The sequence below is a fragment of the Homo sapiens genome, chromosome 3 (assembly GCF_000001405.40).
Source record: "Homo sapiens chromosome 3, GRCh38.p14 Primary Assembly".
NCBI lineage: Eukaryota > Metazoa > Chordata > Mammalia > Primates > Hominidae > Homo > Homo sapiens.
The window spans coordinates 121,879,903-121,892,551 of record NC_000003.12 but is presented as its reverse complement, the minus strand read 5'-3'; the positions used below and the strand labels follow the sequence as shown (position 1 = coordinate 121,892,551).

The following is a 12,649-nucleotide window of genomic DNA, read 5'->3' as shown; positions in this document are numbered from 1 at the left end:
AACTCTATCCCTCACAAAATTTTTACTTTAACTATTCAAATAATTTATTGACAAATAGGGCCAGGATAAACTGTCTTTTCCTCTCTAAACTTTAACTCAGACTTTGACCATATCTTCTCAGCTTCTATTACACCCCTCATTTCTACTGTCTCCCACCAACCTTTACCCAAAGAAGAGTCCAGCTTCATTTCTGACTGTGGCATTAATAATTAAGGTATAGTTATTCTTTCAGGAAGCACTGCCATTTCTGAATTGGTTTGGTTAATGACTTTGGCTGGAAAATAAATGGTCAGAAGTTACTAGTCAAGTTAACTAGCAGAGGCACAGATGCCTTGAAGATCCACTTATGTTGTGGCTTTCCTTGATCTGGCAGAGTAGATGGAATAGCACCTGTATGCAATGTACCAATTTATTTGTGCTCATAGGTATCCCAAATACTAAACTTTGGAGTATTGGCAGTGGTTTTCTGACACTCCTTTGTTTAGACAAAATTCTTCTTTTGATTATGGCAGTATAATGATAGTATTCACAGAATCGAATAATATCAGAGATGGAAGGAATCTTAATCTTGTCCTATGTGAGTGAAACTTCCCTGAGGATAAGAATCATTTTCCTTTGGAAATTCCAATTCAGTAGATCTCGGTAGGGATCTAAGAATCTTTGTTTTCAACGAGCACCTCTAGCAATTCTTACGCTAGGAATTTGGGAAACACTGGTCATAAATTCTCTCCTATTCTATTTCAGAGGAACTCAGAAGGGACAAAGCAAGGACTGGAACCCTAGGCTCCCAAGGCATAGTCTTGAGCCATTTATATAATATTAAGATGGCTCTTAAATCCTATTATTTTGCTAACATCAGATAGAAGGAGAAAGAGAAGAGATAAAAAGAAAGCACCTCCCAGACAGAAATGAGCACCAACTATTCTGAGACAAACAATAAAAGTGAAAGAATCTAAGTATCAGTGATGAGTAAAGAATATTTGTGTCCTTAGTGATTACAACATCAGAAAACATTTATTATGACATATGATAAAGTTTTAGTTATATATACACAAAAGTAGACTGCTGCTCTAAGTTAATAGAATCTAATATAGTCAGAGAGAAGAGGAAAATATGAAATTAAAAGGGAACATATATTTAACAAGTTCTCTAAATTAAAATACACAAAAATAAATTGTATCAAACATCAGTCACAAAGAAATAGAAAAGGGAAATCTAAGGAATACATTTATATATTTATTTATATAAATAGATTTAGGAATAAATCTAACAAAAGATCTTCTAGACCTCAATATTAAAAACTATAAAATTTTACTGAAAGAAATTGAAGAAGATCTAAATAAATGGAAACATACCATGCTTATGAATTGGAAGGCTCATATTGTAAAGATGTCAACATTTCTCAAAACATTCTACAGTTCTAAAACAAAATCCCAGCAGGTTTTGTGAGTATAGAAAATGACAAGATGACTTTTTAAAGTCAACTTGGAAGTGCAAAGAGCCAAGGATAGCAAAGTCAATCTTAAAGAATAATGGTGGAGGATTGTATTACCCAATCTAAGACCTATTTTAAAGATAGTTATTATATCAGAGTGGAATTGACACAGATAACATAGGGCAACCAATGAAACAACACAGCGTTCAGAAAGTGATTCACACACATAATGTATATAACAAAGATGATGCTGTAATACAGTGAAGGAAATGATGTTGATTTCAATAAATAAACACCATTTGAATATCCATACCCCCTAAATTATTTTGACCCTTATTTTACAACATACACAAAAATAATTTCTATATAGATTGCCTATCTAAATGTTAAAGTAAAAAAAAATGTCTTTAGAGGAAAACATAAGAGAACATCTTTATGATTGTGGAGTAAGTCAGCATTTCTTTTTTTTCTTTCTTTTTTTTTTTGAGACGGAGTCTCTGCTCTGTCGCCCAGGCTGGAATGCAGTGGCATGATCTCACTGCAACCTCCGCCTCCCGGGTTCAAGCTATTCTCCTGCCTCAGCCTCCTGAGTAGCTGGGATTACAGGCACGCGCCACCACGCCTGGCTAATTTTTGTATTTTTAGTAGAGACGGGATTTCACCATGTTGGTCAGGCTGGTCTCAAACTCCTGACCTCGTGATCAGCCCACCTCGGTCTCCCAAAGTGCTGGAATTACAGGCATGAGCCACTGTACCTGGCCAGCATTTCTTAAATAAGATATAAAATATGGTAACCATGAAAGAAAAAAAAGAGATGTTGGACAATATTAAAATTAAGAACTTTTGTTGACCACTCTGCAAATTGTCAAAAGACAATTTACAGAGGGGAAGAAAATATTTGTGTTACATATATCTGTCAAAGGATTTGTGTCCAGATTATATAAGTAACTGCATAAATCAATAACAAAAAGATTAATAGGTAAATGGAAAAATATTCTTTTGCCTGGGCGACAGAGCAGAGACTCCGTCTCAAAAAAAAAAAAAAGAAAGAAAGAAAAATAGTCTCCACCTTTCTGGACGGAACTAATGTATTTCTTACATATATTGATTGATGTCTCATATCTCCCTAAAATGTAAAAAACCAGCTATGTCCCAACCACCTTGGGCACAAGTCATCAGAACTTCCTGAGGCTGTGTCACCAGCTAGTCCTCAGCCTTGGTAAAACAAACTTTCTAAATTAACTGAGACTGCCAGGCCTGTAATCCCAGTACTTTGGGAGGCTGAGGGGGGAGGATCACTTGAGGTCAGCAGTTTGAGATCAGCTTGACCAACATGGTGAAACCTCATTTCTACTAAAAATACGAAAACTGGCCAGGCGTGGTGGCCGGCGCCTGTAATCCCAGCTACTCTGGAGGCTGAGGCAGGAGAATCGCTTGAACTGGGGAGGCGGAGGTTGCAGTGAGCCCAGACCCCGCCATTGCATTCCAGCCTGGGCAACAAGAGCGAAACTTCGTCTCAAATAAATAAATAAATTAATTAATTAACTAAGACATGTCTCAAATTTTCAGGGTTCACAGTCTTTTTCTATTATAAGTAATACTGCAATAATAATATTGCACAGAAGTTAAATATATGTGTAGGATAAATTTCCAGAAGTGAGAATGCCGAGCCAAAATATATGCTTTTATAATTTTTGGAACTGCCTATTCATTTTCTTTGCCCATTTTTCTAGAGTCGTGTGTCCCCTTCTTGTAAATTTGTAAGGTCAATTTAAACATTATTGATATTAATGTTCTGCCATCCTCTATATTGCAATATTTTTCCTATTGATTTTATTTATGGACTTTTAAAATTAAATGTACTTGAAGTAAAATGCACAAATCTTAAGTGTACAGCTCTGTTAATTTTTATATATGTGTAACTCACACAAGCACTACCTAGATAATGTTAAAAAAATTTCTAGCACGTCAATGCCAAAAGTTCTTCAGAGATAATACCACTGCCTCCCTTCTGCCTCCCAGTCAAACCTTCCTCCCTCAAGGTCACTGTTCTACAAAATGGTACTCTGAGTGGCCAAAGACTGGACAAATATCATATCCAAACCACTTTGAGCCAACAAGACTTTGTCCTTTGCTAATGGATCTGTATGTGTAAGGGAATACATTCAAAGAACATGTTATTTTCAAGTCTTCCCAAGTTCTATTTTTCATCAGGCCCTTTTGCGTTTACTATGCACATGCCTCAGGGTTGGTCAGGAGTGTGTGAATAGTTTAGGCCATCTCTAGTCTCTGCTGCACATGTACCCAGTCTCAGCCTGAAACATGATTGCCCCAACTAGGATTGCAGCCTCAGGGCCATAGGGTGAATAAGCTCTTGGCCTTCTCTCCCTAGTCAGCATCCCAGAAGTCACTTTCCCTTAAAATGTTTCTGGGCATGAGTGTCAACTACCCCTTCAAACTGAGTGAGTTTCCTTCAGGAGACAGAGAAGTTGCCAGTCCTGAAAATATTAGTTATCAATCTTTTCATAATATATTTTTATTATACTTCTTTTCCATTCTTGAGTTCCTAATTTTGGTTCATCTCTTAATAAATTAGAAATTACTACAATAATTATTATAGGAATGGTATATGAATGATAGAATTCCTGAATTCTTATATGTCTGAGAATACCTTCTTACCAAACTATGGATGACATCTGATGAATACATAATTCATAGGTCACATTAATACCCTTGCACAGATGCAGCTTTATTACCTTTAGATTTTAGTCTTATAGAATAATTCAAAGTCCTTTGATTTTTGTTCTTTTGTAGCCAACTTACTTTTTCTGCTTGCATGCTTACATTACCATCAGTATTTTTTTTTTTTTTTTTGAGACGGAGTCTCACTCTGTCACCCAGGCTGGAGTGCAGTGGCGAGATCTCTGCTCACTGTAAGCTCCACCTCCTGAGTTCACGCCATTCTCCTGCCTCAGCCTCCCGAGTAGCTGGGACTACAGGCGCCTGCCACCACACGCGGCTAATTTTTTTTTTTTGTATTTTTAGTAGAGACAGGGTTTCACCATGTTAGCCAGGATGGTCTCGATCTCCTGACCTCATGATCCGCCCGCCTCGGCCTCCCAAAGTGCTGGGATTACAGGTATGAGCCACCATGCCCAGCCTACCATCAGTTTAATCAAACCATTCAGTATGGATCAAACCAAAAGTGTGTATGTTTAGAATCACATCAGGATCATCAGTTGTTTCTGGCAGAGAACCTTTTATCTGAGAACTTATCTAATCCACTAGCTCCCTACATTTTGGTATCTGAAAACACATCAAATAAGGAGATACAAAAGCATGGGAGATACTATTTCATTCTTCTCTCTCTGAGGTACTTATATATACCCTTGAGTGGTATAAAGAATGATATACTATGTATTCGATCCATAAAAACAGGTCTTTAAGAATGTTTCACTTATGAGGGATATAATAAGGAGGGGAAATGATGTACTGAAGATGTACTGTTCAGCTTGCCGGAAGTTTGAAAACATAATGCATGTTATACAGCCAGCTTTATCAGCTCATATCACCATGTAACCAATTCTGGTAGTGTTAACACCAAAAAGAAAACTCAGCATAACAACTTTCAGTAAAAACCATTATAATTACTATATTAAAATAAGCATTTTACTAGCCACTTTGAATTATGAGCTTGCTTATTAATTATGAGTTAAGTAATAAATTACATAGTTGTAGTTCTTGGCTAAGTATTGATAAATAAAATAGAAATAAAAATGAAGACAGATTAACTAAAGTTAGGCTAGAAAGAGAAAAGGAGAAAGCAAGATTAAAATAAAAACTTATAAATTAAAAAAAAACTACACAAATTCCAAAGGTAAGAAATTGAATTTAAAAATTTTTCATTATTGACGAAACTTGGAAGCAACCAAGATGTCCTTCAGTAGTTGAGTTGATAAACAAACTGTGATACATTCAGACAATAGGAGAGTATTCAAACTTAAAAAAAAATGGGCTATCAAACCATGAAAGACATGGAGGCACTTAAATGCATATTATTAAGTGAAAGAAACTAATCTGAAAAGGCTATGTTCTGTATGATTCCAACTACATGACATTCTGGAAAATGCAAAACTATGGAGACAGTAAGATTAGTAGTTGCTGGGAGTTAAAGGGAAAAGACGAATGAATAGGCAGAACAAAGGATTTTTAGGGCAGTGATACTATTCCGAATGTTACTAAAATGATGAATACACATTTGTCAAAAATCCATAGAATGCACAACATCAAGACTGAACCCTAATGTAAACTATGGACTTAGTGTAATAATGATCTATCAATGTAGGCTCATCTATTTTAGCAAATGTGCCACTCTGGTGTGGGATATTGATAATGAGGAGAGAAGAAATAAGACCTTCTCAACTTTGTTATGAACCTAAAACTTCAACTTTGCTATGAACCTAAAACTGCTGTATTTAATTATATATATATATCTTCATATATAATATATATTTATATATAAACTGTCTAAAAAACAATAAATAAATTTATATAAATAAACTGTCTAAAAAACAAATACATAACATCAACTGAAATTTCTGAATCAAATTTAATTTCTTTTATCATCAAAAGTTAAGACATATTTCCCTCAGTCTTAGGAATTTTTATTGTTAATACAAAATAAATTATACATGCTGTATAAATTTTTATTTATAGCTAAATATTTCTTCAGTCATCACTGTCACTTCCTGATTCACTCAGCTGCAAATCATTTCCTAAAATAAGAAAGAAATAACAAAACTGTAGTAATTAAATATTTAATATTATTTTTGCATAACACAAATTTTACACAAAATATAGCCCCCAAGCGTGATTCTGTTTACCTAGTATTTTGCTTATTCTGTAATTCAGTGACACAATTAGTAACTCAAATAATACTGTGTGTAAAGAAAAAATATACCACTAAACTTCAGCAGTTTTAGTATTTCCTGGCATCTATTTTAGTCTTCTTTCACATATCCCCATCACTCTTTTTTTTATATCACTGATTTAATTAAATCGGGAAATGAGAAAAATGTAGTTTAGAAGATTAAACTATATCACTTTGAAGAGTGAAAAAAATGTTATTTTTTTTTTACTTAAAATGGAGTCAAAATCATTAAATAATATATGTCAAGGATAATTCACCATTGATTCATTTTGTAATTCATCTATGTACTTACAGTCATGGAGCTTACAGTCCAGTGGGGGAGACAGACAGTAAACAAATAAACAAATATATAACATAATGCCAAGTAGGGATAAGTGCTATGGAAAAATGAAAATGGGTATGGAGATGGCAGTGGCAGGTGCTATTTTAAATAGGGTAGTTTTGAAGGCCTTTTTGAGGGGTGACATTTGAACAGAGATCCAAATATAGGAAGAAAGTCATAAAAAATGGAGAATGTGGAGGTGAAGTGACCAGGCCAAAAGAACAGAAGTGCAAATGCCCCAAGGCAGGAGCATATTTGTTGCATTCTCTGACTTGCAAGAAGGCCACTGTGGGTGGAATGGAATGAATAAGGAAGATAACAGTAGTAAATGAGGTCAGAAAGATATCCACAAGGTCATGGTAAAAACTTTGGATTTTGTTTGAAAATGTAATGAGAATTCATGAGAAAATTTTAAGCAGGCAACTAACTTAAAACCGGTTGTAGATCAGTAAATACGCCATAATGGTGTGGAAGAAACACAGAAACAAGAGAGAAGTTGTAAGTCTAATGCAGTCTCTCATGTAAGAAATAATGTTGGCTTTGACTCAGGTAGTCTGGGGGAGGTGAGGCTAAGTGGTCAGATTCATAATGTACTTTGAAGACAGAGTTTATAGGACTAATTAAAACATTGAATTTAGGGTACAAGAGAAAGAAGTGAAGAATGACCCCAAGGTTTTTGTTGTGAACAACTGGATAAATCATTTACTGAGTTATCATTTACTGAGATGAGAAACACCAGAGGAACATGGTTGTAGAAGAAAAATCACAAGTTCAATTTTCATGTGGTAAATTTGAGATACCTAGTAAATACCCAAATATATATGGTACTGGCAGTTGGATATACAAGTCTGGAGCTAAAGGTAGAGGCTGGACCTAGAAATAAAGATTTGAGAGTCATTGATCGTACAGGTTTATCTGAAGCAAACAGACTGAATGAAATCACTTAGGTAGTAAATTACAATGGTTAAAAAAATTCTTATATTTTTTAACTAATCCGCAATCAAAAAAGCTGGCATGTTTTGAAATCAATACCTAATTTAAGAAGAATAGTTTTTAGGCCACGTATAAATTATAAGATGTTTCAGTCTTTTGCATGAACTGCAGAACTGATAACATCATTTGATAAAGAAATCTGCGAGGTCGGGCACGCGGTGGCTCACGCCTGTAATCCCAGCACTTCGGGAGGCTGAGGTGGGCGGATCATGAGGTCAAGAGATTGAGACCATCCTGGCCAACATGGTGAAACCCCGTCTCTACTAAAAATACAAAATTAGCTGGGCATGGTGGCACATGCCTGTAGTCCCAGCTACTCGGGAGGCTGAGGCAGGAGAATCACTTGAACCTAGGAGGTGGAGGTTGCAGTAAGCCGAGATCACGCCACTGCACTCCAGCCTGGCGACAGAGTGAAACTCCTTCTCAAAAAAAAAAATAAATAAATAAATAAGAAAATCTGCTAAAACTTCTTCTGTGCATCTGGTTCTCATGACCATCTCATCACTTTCATTTCTTTTTTTTTTTTTTTTTGAGATGGAGTTTCACTCTTGTCACCCAGGCTAGAGCACAGTGGCGCTATCTCAGCTCACTGCACCCTCTGCCTCCCTGGTTCAAGTGATTCTCCTGCCTCAGCCTCCCGAGTAGCTGGGATTACAGGCATGCGCCACCATGCCTGGCTAATTTTTTTGTATTTTTAGTAGAGTCAGGGTTTCACCATGTTGGCCAGGCTGGTCTCGAACTCCTGATCTCAGGTGAATCACCTGCCTTGGCCTCCCAAAGTGCTGAGATTACAGGCATGAGCCACCTTGCCTGATGCATTTCATAATTTTCAAGGATTAAGTTTCCACTTACAGAACTATTATATGACATAAGAATGTTATATGATGCCTGTAATATGAGTTTTTCAAGCGACACAAACCCAAACGTACTCAGAGTTCCATTTTGCCTTTCTAGACTTTATGCTGTCAAGGTTAGGAAATATTCAGTCAAGTTTTGAAGATATAAGATTAGCCTTTGATTATGAGTTGCTTAGTAAAGAAAATATGTTTTCAATCATAGCTGTAATTATGACTCAGAAAAAGAGAGTTTACCCATAGAAATATATTCAGGCATTTAAATCAATAGTTATCACTGAGAGTAGTACTGCCCCCCAGGGGATGATACAGAAATTTACATGAGGGGTTGCTTGTCCTGTTGGCTGTAGATTGCTAATAGCATTTAGTGGGAGGGGAGTTTAGGAATGCTAAATGTCTTGCAATGGATGAACCAGTCTTGCACAATAAAGAACTCTTCTACATTCTGTGAAATTTTTGAAAGTCGGGTGGAATATGTACTTGGAAGATCTGTTTATAAATTTAAAACCAGAGCTGAAATACATTTTCATAAATTCCAAGTATTGTTTTGCACATATTTAATTGAAACTTACAAGTATGCAGCTATCATGTAAACTGAAGATGATTTTGTTTTGTATTTTTTAAAAACTTTTCAAAAATTTTCTTTTAAAAATAGTTTGGGGCAACACATTAGTAACATCAATGCTGCTCATTGTATTTGGAGCAGCAATACGCATAACAATAGTTGTCTGTATAGGCAGCTGTAGACGCAATTTTTTAATATATATGCATATACTTTTCTAGTCCTTATTTCTACAGGTTAAATAAAAAGAAAAATTGTTGATAATATGAGTTGAATGTTGTTTTGTTTTTCTTAAATCCAAATCTATGCATTAAAAGTAACTGCAAAAACATGGTTACTTCATTGTATCTTCTGATATAGCTATTCTTTAACATTTACAAAGTTAGAACACATATTATTATAAATTTGTTTTTCTTTTGCCTTTATATTAAATTAAATTAATGCTTTTCAAAGATGTATGTACACAGATTATATTAAGCTATGAAATTCATTTCAAAATAGTAAAGGAGAATTAAAAATATCTGTTACAAAAGGGGGTGTTGGGTCTCATAAAGCTGAGCAATGGGATGATTGCAGTAATGGTCAGAGATGGTTTATTTCATTAGGAAACTCCTAGTTTAGATACATCAGGAAAAGAAATTTCACTATTTTTACTTAAAAAAAAAAAACCACCACCTCCCAAGTGGTTATTACTGATAGACAAAAACACTACGGACTTTACTTTCGCATATATCTTTTGCATCTAGTAATCTTTCCAAATTATTTTATTAGTTCTATCGTTTGCTGATTCTTTTGGATTTCCTATGTAGATAATTTACATTCCTACAAATTAAGAGTATTTTATTTCTTGTTTCCAATTCTTATATCATATTTCTTTTACTTGTTTTATTGTATTTGCTAGCAAATTCAATAGAGTGCTCAACAGAAATAACATTAGTCCTCTTTGTCTTGTTCCTGAATTTAACGGGAATGCTCCTAAAGTCTCTATTAGTATGATGTTTGTAGGAGTTCTGTTTTTTGGTAATTAACTTTTATAAAGCTAAGAAAATCCTATTATATTCATCCTTTGGTAAATGTTTTTATTTATTTTACTTTTTTTTTTTTTTTGAGACAGAGTCTCACTCTGTCCCTCAGGCTGGAGTGCAGTGACATGATCTCAGCTTACTGTAACCTCCACCTCCTGGGTTTGAGCAATTCTCATGCCTCAGCCTCCTGAGTAGCTGGGATTATGGGTGTGTACCAGCATGCCTGGCTAATTTTTGTATTTTTAGTAGAGACAGGGTTTCATCATGTTGCTCAGGCTGGTCTTGAACTCCTGGCCTCAAGTGACCCACCTGCCTCGTCCTCCCAAAGTGCTGGGATTACAAGTGTGAACTACCATGCCCAGCCTCAAGTACATGTTTTCAAATTAATAAATACTGAATTTTGTCAAGTTATTCATTTGTTGAAATGATCATATGGGTTTACTTCTATAATCTGTTAATGTGGTGAATTAGATTGATACCATTTCATATGTTTAACATTTCTTACATTTCTGTGATGACCCTTATTTGGTTGTGATTTGGTAAATTATACTTTTTCTACAAAACCATCCGTTCCTATGTCAAATTTACTGGAATAAATTTTTTAATAAAATTATAATTAAGGCTGGGTGCATTGGCTCACACCTGCAATCACGGCACTTTGGGAGACTGAGGTGGGTGGATTGCCTGAGCTCAGGAGTTCGAGACCAGCCTGGGCAACACAATGAAACCCCATCTCTACTAAAATACAAAAAAATTAGCCGGGTGTGGCAGCATGCGCCTGTAGTACCAGCTACTTGGGAGGCTGAGGCAGAAGAATTGCTTGAACCTGGGAGGCAGAGGTTGCAGTGAGTTGAGATTGTGCCACTGGACTCCAGCCTGGGCAACAGAGTAAGACTCTGTCTCCAAAAAATAATAATAATAATACTAATTTTTTAAAAATAACCAATTGGAAAACCTAATGATAATTGATAAATTTGTGGACATATACCACCTACCAAGATTGAACCAAGAAAAAATAGAAAACATGAACAGGTCAAGTACAAGTAATAAGACTGAATCAGTAATAAAAAGTCTCCCATCAAAAAAAAGTTCAGGACCTGATGGCTTCAATACTGAATTCTACCAAACATTTAAAGAATAAATACCAATTCTTCTCAAATTCTTCCGGAAAACTGAAGAGGTGAGAATTCTTCCAAACTCATTCTATGAGGCCAGCATTACCCTGTTACTGAAACCAGACAAGGACACAACTATAGGTCAATGTCTCTGATGCAAATACATGCAAAAATCCTCAACAAATAGTAGCAAACCAAATCCAACAGCACATTAAAAGGATCATTCACCATGATAAGTGGGATTTATCCCAGAGATGTAAGAATGGTTCAACATACCCAAATCAATAAATGTGAAATATCACACCAACATAATGAAGGACAAAAACCATATGATTATCTCAATAGATGCAGAAAAAGCATTCGATAAAATTCAACATCGCTTTATGATAAAAAACCCTCAACAAACTAGGTCTAGAAGGAGTGTACCTCGACATAATAAAGGCCATATAAGAGAAACCCACAGTTAACATTATACTAAATGGGGAAAAGCCGAAAGCTTTTCTTCTAGGAGCTGGAACAATATAAGGATGCGCACTCTCACCATTCTTATTAAACGCAGCACTGGAAGTCCTAGCCAGAGCAAAGAAACAAGAGAGAAAAATAAAGGGTATCCAAATTGCAAAGGAGGAAGTCAAACTGTCCCTGTTTGCAAATGACAAAATCTTATAAAGAGAAAACCCTAAAAGCTCCACAAAAAACTCAGGATTGATAAACAATTTCAGTAAAGTTGCAAGATACAAAAATCAACATACAAAAATTATTGGCATTTCTATAAACAAACAAGAAGAAATCAAGAAAGCAGCATTCCCATTTATAATAGCTACACACACACACACACACACACACACACACACACACACCCCAAAACACTAAGGTCCAGGACAGTGACTCATGCCTGTATTCTCAGTGCTTTAGGAGGCCAAGGAAGGAGGACTGCCTGGGGCCAGGAGTTCAAGACCAGCTTGCACAACACAGTGAGACCCAGTCTCTATTAAAAAAAAAAAAAATTAGCTGGCATGGTGGTGCACACCTATAGTCCCAGCAACTTGGGAGCCTGGGGAGGGAAGATCACTTGAGCCTAGGAGTTCAAGGCTGCAGTGAGCTGTAATCATGCCATTACCTTTCAGCCTGGGCAACGGAGCAAGACCCTGTCTTTAATTAAAAAACAAAACAAAACAACAACAACAGCAACAAACCTAGGAATAAATTTAACCAAGAAGGTGAAAGAGCTTCACAAGGAAGACTATAAAACACTGATTAAAGAAATGGAAGTGGTCACAAAAAATGGAAAGACATGCCATGTTCAAAGATTGAAAGAATTATAATGTGAAAATAACAATACTACCAAAAGCAATCTACAGATCCAATGCAATACCTATCAAAATACCAAAGACATTCTTCACAGATACAAAA

General features: G+C 35.7%; 1 protein-coding gene across 6 annotated transcripts in view; it reads right to left on the bottom strand.

Annotated features, from left to right (window-relative positions):
* Positions 1-6,025: 6,025 nt before the first annotated feature.
* The window catches only part of EAF2 (ELL associated factor 2), a 51,318-nt gene continuing 44,694 nt past the window's right edge, over positions 6,026-12,649 (bottom strand). For all 6 annotated transcript variants that reach the window (XM_047448576.1, XM_017006861.2, XM_047448577.1 and 3 more), the window contains one exon: positions 6,026-6,210. In XM_047448576.1, the coding sequence (XP_047304532.1) occupies positions 6,164-6,210 (47 nt within the window). In that variant the 3' untranslated portion in view covers positions 6,026-6,163. The remainder of the gene's footprint in view (positions 6,211-12,649) is intronic.